Source organism: Homo sapiens, chromosome 5, assembly GCF_000001405.40.
Source record: "Homo sapiens chromosome 5, GRCh38.p14 Primary Assembly".
NCBI classification, from domain to species: domain Eukaryota; kingdom Metazoa; phylum Chordata; class Mammalia; order Primates; family Hominidae; genus Homo; species Homo sapiens.
Genome location: NC_000005.10, coordinates 147,884,099 through 147,908,061, shown reverse-complemented (window position 1 = coordinate 147,908,061; position 23,963 = coordinate 147,884,099). Strand labels below are relative to the sequence as shown.

General features: G+C 37.9%; 1 protein-coding gene across 3 annotated transcripts; it reads left to right on the top strand.

Annotated features, from left to right (window-relative positions):
• Positions 1–1,523: 1,523 nt before the first annotated feature.
• C5orf46 (chromosome 5 open reading frame 46) lies at positions 1,524–22,177 on the top strand. 3 transcript variants are annotated; one of them, XM_005268446.4, is made up of 4 exons: positions 1,524–1,630; positions 6,289–6,433; positions 11,021–11,078; positions 17,838–22,177. In XM_005268446.4, the coding sequence occupies exons 1-3, from the start codon at positions 1,561–1,563 to the stop codon at positions 11,067–11,069; spliced, it is 264 nt and encodes an 87-aa protein (XP_005268503.3). In that variant the 5' UTR covers positions 1,524–1,560; the 3' UTR covers positions 11,070–11,078; positions 17,838–22,177. The 3 variants fall into 3 exon arrangements, with proteins under 3 accessions (XP_005268503.3, NP_996849.2, XP_047273125.1); NM_206966.3 differs by lacking the exon at positions 17,838–22,177 and adding an exon at positions 15,123–15,340; XM_047417169.1 differs by lacking the exon at positions 17,838–22,177 and having other exon boundaries at positions 11,021–13,731.

The following is a 23,963-nucleotide window of genomic DNA, read 5'->3' as shown; positions in this document are numbered from 1 at the left end:
ACACTTAGTTCTCCTATGAGAACACATGGGCACATTCAGGGGAGCAACACACACTGGGGTCTGTCAGGGTTTCAAGGGGAAAGAGAGCATCAGGAAGAATAGCTAATGGATGCTGGGCTTAATACCTAGGTGCCAGCCAGGCACGGTAGCTCACGCCTGTAATCCCAACACTTGGGAAGGCTGAGGCGGGCAGATCACGAGGTCAGGAGATTGAGATGATCCTGGCCAACATAGTGAAACCCTGTCTCTACTAAAAATACAAAACTTAGCTGGGCATGGTGGCACATGCCTGTAGTCCCAGCTACTAGGGAGGCTGAGGCAGGAGAATCACTTGAACCAGGGAGTCGGAGGTTGCAGTGAACTGAGATCGCGCCACTGCACTCCAGCCTGGCAACAGAGCGAGACTCAGTCTCAAAAAAAAAAAAAAAAAAAAAGAAAGAAAGAAACCTAGGTGACAGGTTGATCTGTGCAGCAAATCATCATCATGGCACATGTTTCCCTATGTAACAAACCTGCACATCCTGCTGGCTACATGTGTAGCCTGGAACTTCAAATAAAAGTTGATGGAAAAAAAAGAGAAAAATAAAAGTAAAATAAATAAGACAGTTTATGTTGTCGTTTTCTGTTTGTTTTGAGACAGAGTCTCACTCTGTCACCCAGGCTGGAGTGCAGTGGTGTGATCTCCGCTCACTGCAATCTCCGCCTCCCAGGGTTCAAGCGATTCTCCTGCCTCAGCCTCCCAAGTAGTTGGGATTACAGGTATCTGCCACTACGACCAGCTAATTTTTTGTATTTTTAGTAGAGACGGGGTTTCACCATGTTGGCCAGGATGGTCTTGAACTCCTGACTTCGTGATTCGCCCACCTCAGCCTCCCAAAGTGCTTGGATTATAGGTGTGAGCCACCGCGCCCAGCCAACACTTAGTTCTTATACAATGGGGTCAAGTGTGCTATAGGGCAGATGATGAAGTAACAAACTGCCTGGAGAAGGGTGGAGTGGTTATCATGAAGGTATCACAAAGAAGGACCATTTGAACTGAGGAATACGTAGGAGTGATCCGAAGGGAGACAAGGAGGAGGGTATCTGAGGAAGAAGGAAGAGCAAGAGCAGACGCATGGGGTGTGAAAGGGCATGCCCATGTGGGAACAAGGGATTGTCCCAGAGCACGAGGGAAGGCATAGAGTGTAAAGGGAGGGTGTAGGCTTGCCTTGCCAATCTGATTTGTTGCCTGCTGCTTGGCACTGACGAGCAATTCTACCTGATATCCCTTTAATTATCAATGCTGGCCTTGAAACTAGCCTCAAGAGATTCACTCCAGAACCCTTTATAGATACAAATTTTAAAAATCAAGAGGGTTTTTCTTTCCCTATATGTAAAATGTTTGGTTTGAATGATAGGGTATGTCTCATTAGTACAGATCCAAAAGCAAGCTGTGCAGACATCTTGTGCAACAATCTAAATTCCAAAGCAGATGATGTCACCTATCTATGCCCTATAAATGGAGCATTGTTTCACATGTATCTGAACAATTTATCTGCACGAATACCCCGTGCTACCAGAATGGCTGTCTCAGTACTTCGCCTGACAGTTGTCCTGGGACTGCTTGTCTTATTCCTGACCTGCTATGCAGGTAAGTGCTTCTGATCACAGCCCATGAATTGTTCAGTAGTTAGCAGTGACTAGAGAAAGCTGATGGCACTGATTCAGAACATAAAAGAAAGAAGGGGTCTTTGGGCACTCCAGAAAGAGCACTGGCCTGGGAGACAAGAGGTGTATCTTCTAACACAAAGAAAGTAGAATTTTAATAAAAACCTAGCCTCTATTTTCAGTGGATGTATGAAGTTTGAAATTTTTTTATGTGCTCTTATGATATAATGACACTATTCTAGTATAAATTCCATGGGAGCTGACTGGCATTTATTTTTTGATAATTATTCCTAATAATGTTCATTGGTGAAGAATATGTACTCTGGAATAAAACTCCTGTACCTGGCTCTACCACTAACCAGAAATGTGACTTTAGGAATGCTATTCAATCTCTCTAGGCCTCACATATAAATGGGGACATTTAACTTTCTCGTAAAGTTATCATGAAAATTAAATAAAAGGAATGAAACAAATTGGAAGGGTACCTGGTTGATAGTAAGCATGCAATAAATACTACCTGCTATTGTTGTCATGTATAATCTCATTTGGTTCTCATAGTAATCCAATGATGTAAACATGTACAGTTTTATCATTTTCCTTTTTGCAGGTTAATAAACAGGTTGCAGAGGGCAAGTTACTTGAGCATACATACAGGTGAAAGTGGCATCTGGGAGTGAAACCTAGGTTCCTAGATTCTTTCTACTATTATCGAGCAACTATTTCTTTCCCACCTTTTCCAAGCACATAGAAGCTCATGCTGTATGCTGCCTTCTCATTAATTAATTTACTGTTTGTCTGCAAAAGTCTGTGAGCTCCATTCAGAATGATAGACCAGAAAACAGAGGGAGTGCAAACATTTAGTGACAGAATCCTTTGAATGTAACTTGGCTGAAGAACACACAGACAGACATTACAACAGAATTACTCTAGACATGGCCACGGATATTATTCAGTCCATTCTACTCCTAAAGAAATCACTACAGTGAAGTGAAAGGAGAGATTTGATACCAAGACCAGGCACCACCCTGTCTCTTATAAACTCTGAAACTGGTTAAATCGTTCACTGCTTTGAACCTCAGTTTCTTTATCTGTAAAACGGGATAACTATCAACTTCACCAGGTCAAATGAATATGCTTTTTAATTACTTTGTAAACTATTAAAACTCTACAAATATCAGCAATACTGTTTATTAAGAACATTATATTCACATTCACTAAGAAACTCAACAAAGTAGTTACTGTAAATAAAGGCTATCCCATATAATACTTGAAAAAAGAAAATATTAAACTATTGACTTTGAAGATTGTTTCTAGGATATCAATCGTTTAATATTTTAATAGCATTTTTAAAATTTATATTATCTTCTAAAGCACTAGAGGAGAAAGTGAATTATAAATCATTTTGCTGCTATTATTATTAATAGTAACAATAAAACAGATAACATTTATTTATTCATTCTTTCATTTATTATTTATTTATATAAGGTAAGTTTATCTTGGGATTGGTACTACGATAAGTGGTATATATATGATATATGTATGTATATATAATATAGATATATGTATGTGTGTGTATATATATATAGATATATAATATATAAAATATCTTTCAATCCTGACAACATATGAGGAAACTGAGAGATGCAAAGTTAAGCACTGTGTGCAAGTTTACATGGCTAATTTTTTGTTAAAGGCAGGAATCAGACAGATCTATAAAACTCCAGAGCATGCAATCCATCACACTTTAATACCTCTCAATATATATGGGGTTCACAAGCTAAGGCCAAGATTTTGATTTCCGCCCACTCCAATCCCAGGCTTCTTGCATCTTGAAAAGCCAGGTTTTAGTGTCATATTAAAATAACAAGTCAATAGAATTTATTATGCAAGTAGCCAGATAGAAACACAGGAGAAAAAATCTCATCTTTCATGCAAGAAATTACTGCTTTGCATTTGGCAAATGTCTTTACAGAACAATTGTTTGGAGGTTGTATTATACAATGTGAATAATGTGCTTTGTGGAGTTAAAAAAAATTAGGTTCAAACCCTGGGTCAGCCACTTTCTAGATGAGTGATTTCAGGTGAGTCATTTAATTTTCCTGAGCATCTGTCTTCTCTGCTGTAACTGTGATACCACTGCTGAGCTAAATGACGATTAAGGCATGTGCTGAAAGCACTGATGGAGTACCTGCACGATAGGCACCTTACACATGAGTTCCGCTTCCGCCTCCTTCCCACAATAAAAACAAACCAATCCTTCTGAGTACCTGGGTTGCCCAGCACTTTATGTGAAGGTCATATCTACAGTTGTCTTTTTTTTTTTTTACCTTGACTCTTAGCATAACTATGCACATAATAGTAGGCTCAGGCCAGGCAGGATGGCTCACACCTGTGACCCCAGCACTTCAGGAGGCCGACGTGGGCAGATCACTCAAGCCCAGGAGTTCGAGACCAGCCTGGGCAATATGGCGAAACCCCGTCTCTACACAAAATACAAGAATTAGCCAGCTGTGGTGGCATATGCCTGTCGTCCCTGCTACTCAGGAGGCTGAGGTGGGAGGATGTCTTGAGCCCAGGACGTTGAGCCTGCAGTGAGCTGTAATCACTTCACTGCCCTTCAGCCTGGACGAGAGAGTGAAGCCCTGTTTCAAAAATAAAACATTAAAAAAGTAGGCCCAAAAATACTTTTTGAATGAAGGAACCAATCATTGGATATATGAATAGGTGATGATTAGTATATTGATTTTGGTTATATGTCCCAAACTGGTGCTTCTATCAAATCTTTAGTTGTGTCATAGTAAACAATAAATGCTCATAGAATTGCCTGCCAATCTTTTTTACTAATAGTTTCCATTTTAGGATATAATATAGATGTAAAGTTTCTGACATAATTTGGCAGCCTCCACACAAAAGGTAGTTACATCTCCTTTATCCAAAGTCAGGGGTACATTGTCTAGAAGTTGGGACTTCTTGAGTTAAAACTTGTGCTGAGGTTGCTAGATAAACTACGAGAAACACAGTTAGATTTGGATTTCTGATATGCAATGAATAATCTTTCAGCATCAGGGTGTCCTAATTATTGCATGGATCTTTTTTATAGTACCAGAAAAGCATTTGTTGTTTATCTGAAATTTAAATTTAACTAGGCATCCTGTATTTTTATGTACCCAGTCTGGTAACATTACTTGTCAGGGTACAATACAATTAAAAAATAAAGGTCCCACTTTATCCTGTGACCAGGGCTCAGAGGGGCGACCACATGTAGCTACTGTCACTCTTCCATCTCTTCTCATCTCCTGGGAATAAAGACAATCAAGCAAAGTCAAAAAGCCCCCAAGGGACCTTGAATATAATCAACCTCACTCTGGATCCTTGGCCCTCATTCCAATGGGCCCTTAAGAATCTAGTGTTAAGAGGCCTGCAGTTATCATCTTAGCATTTTTCTTACTGTCTATGAGGTCTTCTGTAAGCCTCTTAATCCTTTCACTTTTCAGTTCAGTGAGCTAAAAAATGCATACTCTGTAAGATTGCTCAGGGGATAAAATTACACAACATTTGTAAAATCACTATTTATGAAACTACTAGGTGATATGCAAGGGATAGAATTGCTTTGTCATCATTATTGTTATACTATTTTGAATCTTCTAAAAGAAGTGCAAATTGCATAACTTTTCCATCAAAGACTGTGCAGCTCATCATAGAGTACTTTAGAATCCAAATTTTAATGCCAAACTGACATGGGTTTGAATTGTATTTCTGCCACTTACTAACTATGTGACTTTCAACCAGTTTCTAAACATCTCTCAAATTATATTACTTTACCTTTAAATTGGGATAATTGTTCCTACCTTGTAGAATTGCTATGAGGATAAAATAAGACAATCCATGTAGATCGTCATAGGCATGTATTCAACAAATGTTACCCATTGATATTTCATTTTTATTTATTTATTTTATTTCTCAGAGACAGGGTCTCACTTTGTCACCCAGGCTTGGAGTGCAGTGGAACGATCATGGCTCACTACAGCCCCTATCTTCTGGGCTCAAGAGATCCTCCTGCCTCAGCCTCCCAAGTAGCTGGGATTACAGGTGTGCACCATCACACCTGGCTACTTTTTACTTTTTGTAGAGATGGAAGTCTCACTATGTTACCCAGGCTGGTCTCAAACTTCTGGCCTCAAGCAATTCTCCCATCTCACCCTCCCAAAGTGCTGGGATTACAGGCATGAGCCACCTCACCCAGTTGATAATTTATCTTTAATATTATTATTACCATGGGCATGGAGATCATATGGAAAAACAGACATTCTGTATGTCAGTCCTGGCACTGGCACTTACTGGCTGCTTAACTCTGAGATAAGTACTTAGCTTCTGGGAACTTTGGTTTTCTCACTCACCAGGCGGTGCCAGTGTCTACCTAAGTATCAATATCAGTCGGTCTATTTGTTTGTTTTTACAAATAAATGAGACAATGCATGTGAAGATTTTATCCAGACAGGCATTAAATGTTCGATGAATATAACCATATAAGGCTATGAAATTTGTGAGTGGGTCAGAAAGAATCCCAAGCGTTCCCCACACAGAAAGAATGATTCCTTCTTTGTTGCTGAGAATCACCTCTGAGATTCTGTTGTTTTTCAGACGACAAACCAGACAAGCCAGACGACAAGCCAGACGACTCGGGCAAAGACCCAAAGCCAGACTTCCCCAAATTCCTAAGCCTCCTGGGCACAGAGATCATTGAGAATGCAGTCGAGTTCATCCTCCGCTCCATGTCCAGGAGCACGTAAGCACTGAGAAAAACGTTGCTTTTTGTCCAATTCTCTGTTGATAATGACCACACAATGACCTCATGGCATTAAAATACATGAGAAACAAAATTTGTGGCATAAGTAAATGTGTTATTTTTCATTGAAAAATGTTGCCCTACTTAAAATATATTTTGCATCTGAATCAACTGCCCTGAGCTTTTTGGGGGAAAGGACATTCCCATCAAGTGGTTCCATACAGGATTTTTTTTTTTTTTTCTTTTTAATCTCAGGAGCAAATAGGGAGGAGGAAGAACACTAGACTAAGGAACAAAAAGCCAAGTTCTGATCCTAACTCAGTTGCTATTTTACTAGGTGGTCTTGAACAAGGCCCTCCCACTCTGAAGGCCTCTATTTGCTCATATTTTAACTGTGAAGTTAAAATAATAGATGGCCCGCCCCTTGTAAGCACTGTGATTACGTGATGAAGGTAAGAGGTAGTGATATGTTCGTTAGTGATGGGTGTGAGGAGTCCTGCCTATATTTTCTAGCTTGAGTAGCTCAAGAAGGTTAGCAGAGACAGTAGATAACCTCTCTTTAAAGACAATCTAGAGAACCTCTCAACATGAGTGTTGGTTTTCATCATGAGAGACTGCCTTCGGGCAGATCACCAATCCCAGAGTCTTCCCAATGTTCTCAGCCTGCTTCCAAGCCTGTGTCTAATTCCCAATACATATTATTTTTGCCTACATAGTTTTGATTTGACACTACTACACTGTATGCTTTATTCTCCCCATATTAATCTCCCAAATTTCAGTTCTCCAAGATGAAATTCACTCTTCCAAATTTCCAGGTGCTTTCAATTTCCACTGCTCTAAGCCTCTGCTCTCTAATTTTCTCCCATATAGATCCTTAAGCAGAGTTTGACTAGGTGTGGTATACCCACCTGATACAGAATCCCTTGGGGGAATTTATTTTTAAAAATGCAGATTTCTGCATCCCATTTTGCATCTTTCTGGGGACAAGGCCATGGATATGGTTTTCAACAAGCTTTTCAGGTAATTCTGATATACAGAAATTTTCAAAAGCCATGCCTTGATCAGATGTTCTGGGTTGCATGGATGGGCCTTAAAGATCCACAAAACCTTTACATTTTTATTAATATTTTGTGTCAGTGTGATTTATTTATTTATTTATTTTTGCATTTTCCCGGGGAAAGTGTTCATGACTTCTATTAGATTTTCAAAGGGGTCTTTAACCAATAGCAGATTAAGAACCACTTCCATGTAGGAGTAATCAGGGGTTTTGTAATCTCTGATCTGCTTAAAGGGATAGATTGTCATCTGATTGGGCAGTGTTCTACAGGCAATCCTTCTCCACAAATTGTTAAAACTCACAGGTGCTTTTTTTTAATTGTTACATTTCCTACTGTGGTTGCTTTTGCAACTGTTATTTTTCCAAGACTGTTAATGTAAACAAGAAGGAAAGTCATAGGCCGACAATAGGAGCACCACCCATTACATACAAACTAAAGATTAGACTCCAGTTGAATTAGTATTGTTACATCCACACAGCAAAACAAGGAGTTAGAACACTAAGAGTTCTTTTCATTCCTTCCCTAGGGAATTTTCCAAGTATAAAATAGGACATTTTTCTCTGTGTTAACCATAAGAGTCGACTCTCTGATATGCTAAAGAATTGCTGTCCGCTCTAGGCTCAGAAATGGCCCTTCATCTACTGGTTTCCCTTTCCCTCATTACATTCTGAGTAAATGACCTTCTTTCTGTTGCTAGAAATTATTACCATCTCAGGCTCTCTTCCCTTGCTCTCCCTCCTTACTAAAATACTCTCCTTTTCTAATGACTAGTTCTTGAGCTTACAGCTAATCTAAAAGTCACTTCCTCAGAAACTATTCTATGACCATTCTTGTTAATACTGTCTTCTTCCATTCCCACTGCCTGTTATTCTCTATCACTTTACCTTGTTACAGTGTCATAATATTTGTTACCATCCGAAATGACTTATTTATTTTTAATCAAGTAGCTAAGTGAAAGTAGAGACCAAATCACCTGACTGGTTGCAAGAGCACAGTACATGGCATATAGTGTCAGGCACTTGAATTAATTAATTAAGGAAAGATATCTTGCAGATCAGACCTAAAGCCCATCTACCTCAATTTGACTGAGAAATCCTGAAGGATCTTTGCTCAAAGACACAGCAATATCTGCTCAAGAGATAAATCTGCGGGTGGTAGAGCCAGGATCTAAAACATACCCATAACTCCCTGCTCAAGGGAAGACCATAAGCAAAATAGGGGGTGGAGGATAGGAGGAGACGTCAGAAAGTATTGCTAAGCACTTAACATGTACAAAGCAGGGACACGGATTGTGAAGGAATAGTCTAGGCTCTTAATCCCTTCTCCTCAAATAATTTGCAGTCCTTATGGTAAAATTACTTAAGCCAATGCACAATGCCATAAATAAAAATGAGTAGCAAGATAAATGTCAGCCAAAGATCACAGGCAGTTTCCAGCGAAAGGAGTTCTCAATGGGTCCAGTGTGCTTAGGGAAGTGTTTATGGCAAAAGCAAGATGTAATTTGGGCCTTGAATGACTAAACAATATTTGATTTGGAAGAGAGAATGAGAGGAATAACAATGATTCATAAAGGTGGGAATTTTACTTTATTTACTCCAATATGTCTGATGCCTAAGTGGTGTGTCAGATGCATAGTAAATGCTAGAGACATGCATTTGAAACAATGAATAGACTGGATTGTTCTCTCCACTTGCTTTTGGATCAGCTTGGAGCTACCTAGACTGCATTTTGCTCATCATTTTTCTGAAAAATATACATATTCTTAACTCCTCTCACCCTTTGAGAGCCCTTAATTCTAGGGAATATTTTCCCCTCTGGGTTCCATGATGTATTTTCCTGGTTCTCTCTCTACCACTAGCCATTCTTTCTCATTCTTTTTATTTGACTTTTCTTCATGCACCTGCCCTCCAAATGTCATTGTTCCTCAGAATTCCAAACGTGCTTGGTTCTTCACATTGCAGTTTACACATTGGGAACACTGCCTATAATCTAATGAGTTTCAAATTCACATTTCTGTTGCAATTTTTTCCTGAGCTCCAGATGGAATAACTGATTGCTTGCTACAAAATTCCATCGTTTTTCTACCACTATTTCAAATTCCACTGGTCTAAACCCAAGCCCATCATCTCACTCAAAACCTTCCTCCATATCTCATTAAGTCACATCATCATCCACCCAGAATCCAGAAATCTAAGGATCTTCTCAAATCCTTCCTGCTCATCATCACCTTCATCGAATTGCTGAATATTCTACCCTATATACCTTCCTCGGGTATATGTATATGCACCCTATATACATTTCTCTTCCTCAGCTCCACTGACTAGTTGGTCAAGTTGAGTCCTTTATCATCTCTTTCCCAAGTTCCTTTTATTGGATTTCTAATAAGTTTCACTTTTCTCTGTCTCTCTTTTTATTGGATTTCTAATAAGTTCCACCTTCTGTCTCATCAATTCATCTTCTACCTACTACCAGAACTTTATATCAAAAAAATTTAAATTTGGTCATATCACTGCCATGCTTGAAAGTTTTTCATGAATTTCCATTGCCTCCAAAATTCAAGCAAATGCATTAGGCTGATGTCAAATGTCCTTCTCTGATGCCAATGTATCTTTCAGTCACATTTCTCACCTCTGCAACCTGAAGCCCCAATGACTAATGAGTTTCATTTTAAAGCAGGTCATGTTTGTATAAACCCCCAATATCTGTGCGTGTGATTTTTCCCTCTGCTGAAAATGCCTAGCCCCAAAGCCAAAACCCCACTCTGTTCACTTGGCAAGTCTAATCATTTTCTAAAGCCCAATTCAAAAACAAACTCTGTAAAAAAGTCATAGACACTTAACATCAGAAATTTCAGTTTTTCATATTCAGGGATTTCATAATCCTTTGCAGAAATCTTCATAACAACTTTTATCCCCACATTGTATTAAATTACTTGTATCTGAGTTGTCTGTTTTCTCCACTAGACTGCAATTCACAAACCATATTTTAGTTATCTTTTACGATCTCAGCAGATACCCTGGTACCCAGTCCTTAAGCCATAGGGCATAATGTTTCTAGCATTTAGTAATGACTCTGGAGAGCCAAATTTTTAAATTTTCTTTGTAACTTACCAGCCATGTGCTTTGGACAGGTTGTTTAATCTTTAAGCTTCAAAGGTTTTCTCACACATAAAAAGAGATAATAAAGATGCATTCAACAAATATTTATTAATTTCTACTATTTGCCATGCACTGTTCTAAGTGCTGGGGATATATTACTGGAAAAATATACCAAAATATATGACTTTATGGAGTTTATGTGTGAATAGATACCTAACTAATGGGTTTGTTGGCAGATGCAAAAAAGATAATTATGCATAAATTACTTGCCCACTATGAACTATGTAGAAATTTTAGGTCTTATTTCTTTCTGACATAGAAAAATCTAGAGAAGAACAGTGTGGCTCAAACATTATACAGCGCCTTAGTGATCATTCTAACACTCCTGTTCAGTCTCAATTGTAATTCTTATTTTCTCTTTTTTTCTCAAGAGGATTTATGGAATTTGATGATAATGAAGGAAAACATTCATCAAAGTGACATCCTCAGGTGATTTTTCACTTAAAATTTACAACTGAAATAACAGTGTATTGGACAAAGGAAAAAGAGTCTGTCCAGTTTTATTTAATAATTTTGGTTACCCATGTCTACCTACAAGCAGAAAAAGTACATTTTAAAAAAATAAATGAATATATTTTTTTCATGTACAAGTTTCTAATAATAAAATTTTCTTAAGAGAGGAGGTAGAGCTGTGAGATGAAGTGAATAAGGATGGCAAGTTTGGAGACCTGATTCCTGTCACAAATCTGCTAGGAACTTGCTTTGTACAAGTTCAGCCTGTGAAATGAGGGGCTAGCACGCACTAGCAATCTAAGGACCCACGTAATCATGCAGTTAGTTACTCATAAGAAGAGTGAAATTTGCTGAACCTAATTCAGAGAGAAAGGATAACAAACTTTCTATCTCACGCAGTTAGATATATGGGCAAACAATATAGTTTGAGTGCTCAGAAATACTTGCTTTTTCCCTACTCGGGTCTCTCCTGAAAATGCATATTGAAATACGAAAACAAAAGTGTTAGATCTGGAAAAGTAGTAATATTAGTAGCTGGTATGAACTGTGTTCTTACTCTGTTTTAGGCATTAAGCTAAGTGATTAATGACTAAGGGCTTGTAGTATTTAATTCATAATCACTATGCAAAATAGATATTATTATTCTTAAATTTTATAAATAAGGAAATGAAGGTTCAGGGAGGTTTGCTAATGTGGCTATATTGATAAAGGATGAAGACACAATTTGAATTTAAGCAGCCTGATTCCAAGGCCTGTGCTGTATCTCTAAGCCATAGTGCTACTGGAAACAGAGCAGAATAGTATAGGAGAAGGCAGTGGAGAATAATGATTAAGCTAAGTAATCTAAGTCATACCTCAAGATGTTCATAGAAATACAACACCACCCCTTTGCTTAGTTGAGTTACTTTATCTGCATATTCAGGAAGCATGGCCTTTCCCAACTTCTGTTTGTGATCTGGTCTGGAAATGCTCCTTTTCCCCATTGGCTCCATTTCATAACCTGGGTGTGATTAATGTAAGTTCAGAAAGCTACTATCATATTCCCCCGGAACTTAGCCCACCCTTTCCCATGTGCTTCTAAGGATGAGAATCAGGCTTGGGCATTGAAATCAAAACATGCCCAACCCCGACACTCCTGACTCTTACCCTAAGGCCAATTAAGCTTTTAAACTCAGTCACTTATGTTTGTATGTCTTCATTCCCATCTTCTCAGAGAACAGCCTGCCTCTTCTTGCAGGTGTCCTAATACTTTGCCTTCATTCCGGCTTCTGGTACACACCTATAATTTTTGGTACCCACACCCCAAATCCTTGGAGTACATCCTACAGGTCTGGTCTATGATGTAGTCTAATAGGCAAGGCCACATGGAGGAGCAGAAAGAACAGAAGACATAGACAAGATGTAAATTCAACTTCTAAATCAGCCACTTAATGGTTATGTAACCGTGGTCAGGCCACTTTACCTGCCTGAGCCCCACTTTTCTCCTTATGAATTTTTAAAACATAGGGAATCTTAATGCCATAAATTTTTTAACTGCACATGAAAAACTTGGAATTGATGCATGAACCAACCTAAGATGCCCTGATGAGCAGGGAGGAATGGCTCAATCTAGGGTTGTAATATAAAAAACATTAAACTAGGGAGAAGGAAGCAACTAAGGGAGAGACTAATTTTTGTATTCTTAGTAGAGACAGGGTTTCACCATGCTGCCCAGGCTGGTGTTGAACTCCTGGCCTCAAGTGATCTAAGTGATCACTTGGATGCCCACCTCAGCCTCCTAAACTGTTCCGATTATAGGCATGAGACATGGCATGCAGCCAGAATTTCCTAAATTAAGATAGGTAGTTGGATAGATAGATCTTATGTTTCTCTTATTAACATTGATTTTTTTTTTTTTGAGACAGAGTCTCACTCTGTCACCCAGGTTGGAGTGCAGTGGTGCCATCTCGGCTCACTGCAACCTCTGCCTCCTGGGTTCAAGTGATTCTCCTGACTCAGCCTCCCGAGTAGCTGGGACTACAGGTGTGCATCACCACACCCGGCTAATTTTTGTATTTTCCTTTAGTAGAAATGAGGTTTCACCATGTTGGCCATGATGGTCTTGAACTCCTGACAGTGATTCACCCCCCTTCGGCCTCCCAAAATGCTGGAATTACAGGTGTGAGCCACCATTCCCGGCCGATCCCTCCCTTTTTTTTTTTTTTACACATTTCTTTAATGCTTCTTTAATCCATACCTACTATATCAATCAGCCAATGCTACCAAAATGAATAACTAGCTGGCTGTTGAGAAGTTTATGGACTCAGCAATCACATAGCTCTGTGTATCTCATAACTGTGGAAGGAAATGATAAAGTTATGCATAAAGGGGCCTTGGGAATGCCTTGGAAAAGATAAGAAGGAATATCTGGAGGAGGGGATAAGCATTATGAATGCTCTACAAATAAGGTGAACTCTGAGAGAAGAGATTCTACACACAACCTGATATGATGAGTAGAGAGAGGTACAGTATTTGGAAAAATATCCAATAACCGAATACCTGGTTCATCTGAGAACCTCTCAGCCTCTACTGAACAACATTGGCATGATTTTTACTGGCTTTAATATTTTCAATAAAATTAAAATTTTAACTCCATTTGTCCTGCATTGTTTAAAACCATATGAATTCAAGTCATCTTTTTTTGTGTCTTAAGTCATTTGATATTTTAAGTATAAATTTTCTTTCCTGCTTAAAAACAAATTTGGACAAACCTCACTAGATTACTAAAATTATCAAAAGAGGTAATGGATAGAAAGTCACTTTATGAATTCTTAATTTTTATACAAGTGTTTTGGATTAAGGCAAAATGTACTATAGGACACACTAGACTTTTATGCTTAGACTTGCTCAGTCAGAACTTCCTAGGGAGGGATCTAGGAATAAGTAAGTCAGACAGGAAATTCCAGTGCACCTGATAAGCAAAATTGCCCGTGGCCACAATGTCACTTGATTACGTTTTCATGAAGTCTTATGGAAAATTTTTCTTTTAGAAATCAGGCAAAAAAAAAAAAAATATGCCTTCCCTAAAGTCAGATTCCTCTTTTCTGCTTATAAGATTTATGTGATGGCTGGGCATAGTGCCTCATGCCATTACAGGTGCCTACCAAATCCCAGCGCTTTGGGAGGCCGAGCGGGCAGATCACCTGAGGTCGGGAGGTGGAAACCAGCCTGACCAACATGGAGAAACACTGTCTCTACTAAAAATACAAAATTAGCCGGGCATGGTGGCACATGCCAGTAATCCCAGCTACTCATGAGGCTGAGGCAGGAGAATCGCTTGAACCAGGGAGGCAGAGGTTGTGGTAAACCAAGATCAAGCCACTGCACTCCAGCCAGGGCAACAAGAGCGAAACTGTGGCTCGTAATCCCAGCACTTTGGGAGGCTGAGGCAGGCAAATCATGAGATCAGGAGATCGAGACCATTCTGGCTAAAACTGTGAAACCCTGTCTCTACTAAAAATACAAAAAATTAGCCAGGTGTGGTAGCGGGTGCCTGTAGTCCCAGCTACTCGGGAGGCTGAGGCAGAAGAATCGCTTGAACCTGGGAGGCAGAAGCTGCAGTGAGCCAGGATCACAGCCACTGCACTCCAGCCTGGGCAACAGAGAGGGACTCTGTCTCAAAAAAAAAAAAAAAAAAAAGATTTATGTGACTTAGTTTTTTTCTTTTTCATCACCTATCTATCCAGAAACTCAGTGAAACTGGTGACTCAACTTATCCTTAGGAGTTTATTCAATGTACATTCTCCCTTCATTCTTGTTTCTGATTCTTTCTTTATATACTCTGAATTTTTGCTTTGTTGTTTTTGTTGCTCATTTCCTCAAGAATGTATTATAGTTGATTTTATTATGAAACCTCTTCTATTTTAAAGTGCAGAAGCATAAAAATTTTAAGGGAAAGGTTAAAAGTTATTTGGTTTATTTAACGTCTTAAACCAGCTCTACTTGGTAATTGTTTTCCTCTCTTTGGCTTGTGTTTCAAAGGACACACCCATGTGGCTCCTGGACAATCCAAGAGCAGCCAAATCCTGCTTTTCCAGTTTGGCTCCACAAGTCCTCCAGGACAGAGCCCTCAAAGCAACTCCCAACGAGTTCTCAGGATTCAGGCTCTGGCTTCAACCAAACAGAACTCATTTTGAACACCCTGACTGCATTTTTGCTTTTAGAAAGTTAGAATAAATATGGCGCTTTGGGATCACATAGTTGATGGAGAGGATTTGTGTTGCTATTAGTAATTTTTTCTGGCCATGTTTAAAGTTTTAATGATGCAAATATATATCTCTTGGTGAATATTTATATATTTATATATTCAACAGGATAACCAAAGAATGGTTCAAAATAAGAGGACTAAAGCCCAGATAATGTAGCAAGTTCGAATTCACAGAGCCAATAAGTGACAGAAAGAGGATTAAAACCTGACCTCAAAACAAGCTCTCAACTCCTAAAAATGTATGCAATTTCAGAGTTAAAAGTTTTACACATCTTTTTTAGAAAGTATTTTAAAACTATCTGAGCCCACTCTCCTATGCTAGTAAACTTAAAAACTGACCTTTTTAAAATTAATAAAATCATTGCCTTCCCACAGAGTCACTATTTTTCTCATAAAATAGCAGTGTCAGGGATGGAAGAGTCATTGAAATGTTTAGTTGCAGGCCTTTCGTGCCACCACCTTATTACACAGAGGTGGATCCTCTGCAGCCATGGCTATGGTTCTTGCCCACTTACCAGAAGTAAAATGTGACATAGCAGAGCTAGAAATACAGTAATCTCCCAGAATTGTTTACTGTGGACAGTAAGACAAGACTGAAATCTTATTATAGAGCAAGATGCCAGTTAAAGCAGTGCTCTAATCTAGAATAAAGTTTCTATGTGCTTCTACTGAGTTCTCAAAAGCTATCTTGGGTTTTGTCCTTCCCAAACACATAAACTCTGAAAGTAACTCAAATGTATGTTTAATAAATGTTTTGTTTGTCTGTCTTCCTGTTTTTACTTAGCCAGAAGAGGTGTGCATGCAGCACAAATAATTTTAATAATACAGGTAGATAAACCAAGAGTGAATTCCTACTAAATGTTGAAAAATGCATGTTACTTTCTACAATAAATTCAGACAACTCACACTCTGCATTTTCTAGGGATTGTGTCAATTTCAAATATCACATCCCACTTAACTAAATTACTTAGAATGTCTATTATATTCAGTATCTGGCACACAAACTGCTTCTCCCCATCAAATGTGGCTGCAAAATCTCTTTTCCAATGTTGACTCACTGATTTGTGCCTAGATAACATATTTACTACAACTATATTAATTAATACACTACTTATATGTGAGAAACATACTCTACCAGAACTTTCCTGCCTTTATCTTCACCTGTCTATTGTACATTTTGAAATCACTTTTTCATGTTGAGGGTTGGGAAAGTGCCATATCAATACAAGATTTGGTAAATTCCTAACGGGTCGCTGACAAAGATCTCCAACGATCTATAGAGATTTTGAAGATTTCCCAACTGCTTTACAATGTGTGTTTCCTCTTCCTCCCCTTCATTGCCTTCTTCCCCTACCCTCCAATAAGACCCATGTCTTCAGCCAGCAGGTACACCTGTTCTTAAAGATCAAGAATCTCTTTCATCTGCATAGAATTTTTCTTTTGGGACTCTTTCCCAGTATCATCTCCTTGTAATCTCATAACTGCAATGCGATTGAAGTGAATTAGGGAGGTATTGTTTTCTGCATATGACAGGTGAAGAAACTGAGGCTCAGGAGGCTGATTGGTATCATGCCTAAGATACCAAAATTGGTAGAGGCTACATGGGAGCTCCAGCCAAGTGTGTCTAACTCCCAGCAGAGAATTCCCCTGTGACATGCTGAGGACACAATCTACATCATCACTATTCTGTCCCAAATCCCAAACTTTCTATCATGACTCAAGTGCTTGAGGGAATTTATGCTTGACTTTTTACAGAAATGCTGAGTAGATAGAGTAATTCTATTTAAATAAAATTCAATTCAGATTAATTCCTTCTGCCATTTCCCATCTCATTTGAAACAAACACTTCATTTAAAAATTTCTTTACAATGTGGCAAAGATCCTACCTGAGTTATTCACTTCCCTTCCTTTCTCCTACTCATTAGCTTTCTCTTTTCACTCCAGCCATATTGGGATCCTTGTCAGTCTTTAAATAGTCCAAGTATGTTCTTTTTATAGGGCCTTACATTTCCTCTTCCCTGTGCCTAAATTACTCTTTCGCGAGGTGGCCACATGGCTTGCTCCTTCATTTCTTAAGGTCTTGTACTAAATATCACCTTCTCAGTGAAGCCTTCATTGATCATTTTATTTAAAACTGCATCTTCTGCCCTAATACGTCTATATTCTTTGGCTGCTTAATTTTTCCTCCTATGGATATATATTTTTTAATATATGTCTTTTAACACAATGTTAAAACTTTATTTATTTCATTCCTTTTTCTGCCTACCTTCATTAAAATGTAATCTCCACGAGGCAAGAATTTGGCCTTTTTTGTTCAATGTTTCTGGTGCAATCATGAGCAATTAGAACAGTGTCTAGCAGAGAGCAGCTGTTCTGTAAATGTTTCTTGTATTTTGCAAAAAGTGAAGAAATTTAAATGATAGAGCTTCTACCCAAGGGCAAGATAGTAAGGGTACACAGTTGAATATCTCATGATTTTTGCTTTCAAGTGCCTCACAGTCTTGATGCAGAAGATATGCGTGCATAACCAACTAAACATACTCAACACGGTGCAGCATAACAGAGGCACGGACATGGGAACATGGGAACCAGCACAAAGAACCATTCATGCTCCCTCGGAAATCCGGAAAGATTTCTCTGATGTAATAATATTTGATCCATGACTTGATGAATGATAAAGGATTTGAAGACATGGAGAAGGAGAAGGAAGGGCATTTCAACCACAGAAGAAAGCTTAAACCAAAACTCAGACTATGGCAATGCTTGACATTCAAGGATAGCCTTATAATCCTTCAAACTTACCTACCTTTATTAAGAAACAGATTTCATTAGGATACCTTCCATGCTTGGTCCTGCATAAATGCTACCTCATTGAATCCTCATACTTAGTACAAAAATTAGATATGATTATTCCCTTTTGAAATGATGCAATTGAGAATCTGACAAGATCACCCAGTTGAGTAACGCTGGAGCCAAACTCGAACAAAAGTCTGTGTGACTGATTTCCTTTTGTATTTATTTTGAGAGTGAGAGGAATTACTTTCTTTTTAAGAAAATTAATTTTATTTTATGTTCTGGGATACATGTGCAGGACATGCAGGTTTGTTACATAGATAAACGTGTGCCATGGTGGTTTGCTGTATCTATCAACCCATTACCTAGGTGAGAGGAATTACTTTTTAATATGTACTAATTGACAGAATGTTTTCTTCAAAATTTAGATCCAAAAATTATTAAAGTGGCATATGTTACCATGTGAGAGGGAAAAATGAGGGGAATATGGAAATGTGTATATACTTCTAAAAGTTAACAATCTCCCACACTAATCCGATTATTCCCAAACCAGCCATATCAGCAACCAATATTGTTGCTGTTGTCCCTGACTGTTCAAACATATCCAAACATATTCACATGTAGAGTGGGGTTTGGGTGAGTGCTTTACTCTGCAGCTTGACTGTCACTGAATAATTTCTCATGGCATTTAGTTTAGGTAAACAGATAGAAATCTTTAAAAAGCTATTCAATATCTCATTATTTCCCTATTGATAGACTTTCATATCATTTCTATTTTTTCAGCTTTTCAAAGGATTCTGCAATAAACAAGCTTATATGTATAAGCACATGCACTAATATTTATATATAAATATTTTTATTTAATGTTTTTATAAAAGGTTTTCAAAAATTGAATTGCAAGATCAAAGGGCATTTTAAAAAATGCTAATGGACATTGTGAAAAAGCCTTCAAAATGTAGCCACTCCCTTATTGGCCCAAATGGACACTTTATGGACTCACAGCATATAAGTAATTTTCTAAACTTATAACTGATGTACAAAAACTGCATGCATTTAAAGTATACACTTAAAGAATTTAAACATATGCATATACTCCCAAAACCACACAATTTAAATACTGAACAATCTTGGAGCTCACAAATAAGTGGGAGATACAAAAAATCATCAGATAATCCTACATAAACCTATAATTACATTTTGAGAGACTTGCTTGGGAAGGAAGGAAGATGGTTCTCTTGGAAGCTGTCACAGATGTGTATCAACTGGGTGAAGGAAGGTTCCTAAGGAAGGGAGACATGTGCTGAGATCTCAAAAGAGAAATAATAAAGTGGTTGAATAGGACAAAATTCATAAGGCAATGAAGGAGAAGAGGCATTTATAGTTGAGTGAATGGCATTTGCAAAAGCCCTGTGCTAGGTATACTGTTCTCTAGCCATGAAGAAACGTCAAGGTGGCTGGAAAGCAAATAAGAAGGAAGAAAGTAAGTCTTACAGGACCTCATAGGTTATGGTCAGGATTTTATTCTTAAATCCAAGAACAATGGAAAGCCACCAAAGGATTTTGAGCATTGGAACACATATGATCATTGTTGCATTTTAAAAATATCAGTTGGCTGTTGTGCAGGCTAGACAGAGGGGTCCAGAGTAAAGCAAGAAGCCAGCCAAAAGCTCTTGAGCAAGGGAGGGTCAATGCAGACAGAACCATGTGGAAGGATTCAAGAGAATATTAAGACATTAGGTTGACAGGACATGGTGATTAGTTCTACATGACGTGTCAGGGAGAGGGAAGTATCAGGAATGACTCGTAGGAGTCTGACTAATGCAAGTGGATATGGTTGCATATGCAGTGTTGCCACTCAGGTATATGGAGAACATTGGATACAAAATTTCCCAAGGCTTTTCTGGGCTCTTAGGATAAATACAGGGCCATGACCATGACACCTAATGCATGGTTTGACCTTGGCTTGTGTCCCTGTGCTCCTGCTGCCACCTGTGCACTGAAACACAGGTGATGTTTCAGTTCTTTGAAGAAGCCAAGTTCTCCTTATCCTCAGGATATTCATGCACTTAGTACCTTCCACACAGAATATTATTTGGTTAAGATGGGTTCTTCCAACCTCAAGTCCCAACTTGGCATGTCCATAGAAATGACCTAAAATAAACAGGCAATCTCTTGTCACTGTGACCTTTCTTAGGATCCTATTCTTTTCCTTTATTGTTATTATCATAACTTATAATTATCCTTTTACCCATGTTTATTTGTGTGGTTTCTATCTCTCCCTTTACACTGTGAAATCTATGGAGATATGGGTCATGACAATTTATTACTGTATGCTTCCTGTCCAGCAAAGATCCTGCAACTAATATTCAATAATTATTTGCTGAATCGAAAATATATGGAGGAAACAATGAATGACCAATAGCTATCACTGTTATTATGGTCATTGTCAGTATCAGAAAACAAGTTCTCATTTGATAATGAGAGAGTTAAGGACAGAACAAAGAATGCACCATTTAACAATGCTTGAAATGAAGTCAGAGGTAGTTACTAGAAAGGGGGAGCATCAGGTAGTTGCCATTTAGTTGTGAATCCCCAGTGAAAAATTTAATGCAATAGAAGGTGCTGATATTTCTCATTATCTACCTTGCATATATACACAAATGTTTTCCTTGATTTTGCTAATAATGAGCGCCCTCTGCTGTCTTTAATCTGCCTCAATAGCCTGCGAGCTCTTCATCTGGTTGCTTTCTAAAATAAAAAATAATGTAGCAAATAAATTGTACTTACCTGTCTGGTTGTACTGCCTATCTTAGACATGAAACTAAGAAATCATATAATTCATACCTTGCATGGCTTGACCCTCCAGCACATAATAAAAAGGGATTTACAGCTAGCTTAGGGAGAACAATCATACCCTAGGCATTGTCTTGGGTCCCTAATCCCATCTTTGGAAATGGCACTTCTCCGACCTCAGTCACCTGAGATACCAACTGTTCTTCCCCATTGAAATGTGTGACTAGTTATCAAAATTTTAGACACCATGTAATTCTGGACCTTGCATTTCCACTTTCAAGGTTTTTCTGAAGACATAAAGACAAAAATGTATGCAAAATATGCATGCTCACTATAGCACTTTTTATAATAACAAAAAATATAATTAGATATTAGAAACAATATAATATACATTATATAAATTAAATTAATATTCACATAGATAACAATTTAAATAAGGCATATGTCATTCATATGTGCAATGTATCATTCATGTATGTTTGTAAATATTTAGAAAATGTCTTGAAAAAAGCACATCAATGTGAACAGTGGTTTCCTCTAATTTGTGGAATTTATGGATGAAGAGAATGAAAGTTACATATATGCATATATGTAACTACAGTTATACATAATTATAGTTGTATATAATTATATATAACATGTTAATTATATTCCATATGATTATATGATAATTATATGTATATATTTCTATATTCTGATGATCTTTAAAATAATTTTTAAACTTTTTAAGATAACTATAGATTCACATGAAGTTTTAAGAAATCATACAGAGCAATCCAGCATATTTTCTACCAAGTTTCCTCCAATGGTAGTATCTTGCAAAACTATGCTGCTACATCAAAACCAGTATGCTGACATTGATACAGGTAAAACACAGAATATTTCTGTCCTCATAAGGATCTCTCATACAGCTCTTATATAACACACTCACTTCCTTCCTGCCCCCATCGTCTCCTTAACCCCTGGAAATTACAAATTTGTTCTTTATTTCTATAATTTTGTCATTTTGAGAATGTTACATAAATAAAAGTATACAAAATTTAACCTTTGGGGTTTGACATTTTTTCACTCAGCATAATTCTCTAAGGATGCATCCAGGTTACTGTGTATATAAATAGTTTGTTCTCCTTTTTTGTTGAATAGTATTTCTTTACAAAGATGTCCAAAATTTATCCATTCATCCACTGAAGAACAACTGTGTTGTTTCCAGTTTTTGGCTACTAAAATAAAATTGTTATGACCATTTGTGTACAGGTTTTTGCATAAATATAAGTTTTTGTTTCTCTGGGATAAATGCCCAAGAGTACAATTGCTGGGTTTTATGGTAGTTGCATGTTTAGTTTTTTAACAAAATGTCAAACTATTTTACCAGAGTAGCTGTACTGTTTTACTTTCACACCAGCAATGTGTGAGTGATCCAGCTTGTCTACATCCTCACCAGCATTTGGTGTTGTCACTTTTATGATAATGTTTATCATCAGTTTCTGCCTGCCTTCCCAAACATAATTTGTCCCCAGATTCCTTCTTAATCCCTCTGTTTGATACACCCCTGGAAAAAAAACCTTCCAACCCAGTAAACTGTCAGATTACTGCTATTACTCAGAGTACAATGGCAGAGAACTTTATCCCCAATCTTTTCCATTTAATACCTTAGTGAAGACATAGAGAGGCATCCTTCTCAAATATGCAAAACACTGGGAGAGAGAGAGCAATGAAAGGCTTAATAATATGACTAGTGGAACAAAACAAAGGGGCCAACCCAATCAGATACAACTTAACAGAAACAATCCCATTTATTCAACAGAACCAACACCGACTATCTTCAGGCTCTGTGCGATGTGCTGAGGATACAGACATGTACATTAGAGTCACTAACCATTTAACTTGACAGTCTAGAAAAGAGACTTTGAAATAAGTATGAAAACAAATACGTTTAAACTTATATTATTAATGTGTCTATTGATTTAACATAGTGTCTGACTCTTTTTTTTTCAATCAGCATTAAAAAACTATGGATGAATTTGAAGTTGGGGAATAATTCCTGTATTTTAGGAAGTCTCCTTCTGTGTATGGATGATGGATTAGAAGGGGACCTTTGGGAATACAAAAGTCACTTGAGAGATTAACACAGTAGTTTGAAGGGAAATGACAAGATCTGCAGCTGGGAACAGTGGCTCATGCCTCTAATCCCAGCACTCTGGGAAGCTGAGGCAGGAGGATCGCTTGTGCCCAGGAGTTCAAGACTAGCCTGGGCAACATGGTATCTAAAAAAATACAAAAAACATTAGCCAGGCATGATGGTATGTGCCTATAGTCCTAGCTACTCAGGAGGCTGAGGTGGGAGGATCACCTGAACCCAGGAGGTCCAGGCTGCAGTGAGCTGTGATGGCACTATAGCACTTCAAAAAAAGAAAAGAAAGAAAGAAAGAAGAGAGAGAGAGAGAGAAAGAAAGAAAAAAGAAAGAAGAAAGAAAGAAAGTAAGTTTTAGGAACAGTACCAGTGGTGATCATGAAAAATGTGTGCAATAGTTGTGAAAAGGGTTGATAAGGCTTGCTTACCAATCAGAAAGGAGGCTGATGACAGAGAGTACTTAGGATTATTCCCAAGTTTCTGTCTCAGGCAACCACTAAAATGTCTGTGCTGTAAACTGAATAGCAAATTAAAACATAGGAGTGGGTTTTGAAAGAGAGACAATGAGTTCAGGTAAAAATGTTTGAGTTGAACCTAAAAAAGAGCATCCCTTGGAGGTGTCTTATAGGTAACTAAATCTCTTCTTTAAAAAAAAAAAAAAGGTATAGATTGTAGCCATAGATTTTAGAGTTCCTAACATAAAGATTATATTGGCGTCCATGGTAGTACATAAGATTCTCCAATAAAGGTTATACACAGAGTAAAAATAGAAGGGGAATCAAGTTTAGTATCTTTGGAGGTATCAATGTCCAAGGGAAGTCAAAAATAATAAGGGCCATTTAAAGAAACTGAAAAATAGTGGTCAAATAGCAGAAAACTAAGGTAGGCGGAAAGATGG

Coding starts and splice junctions, on each gene's coding strand:
- C5orf46 (XM_005268446.4), top strand. CDS start 1,561: ATGGCTGTCTCAGTACTTCGCCTGACAGTTGTCCTGGGACTGCTTGTC. Junction 1,631..6,288: donor ATTCCTGACCTGCTATGCAG/GTAAGTGCTTCT, acceptor GTTGTTTTTCAG/ACGACAAACCAGACAAGCCA. Junction 6,434..11,020: donor CGCTCCATGTCCAGGAGCAC/GTAAGCACTGAG, acceptor TTTTTTCTCAAG/AGGATTTATGGAATTTGATG.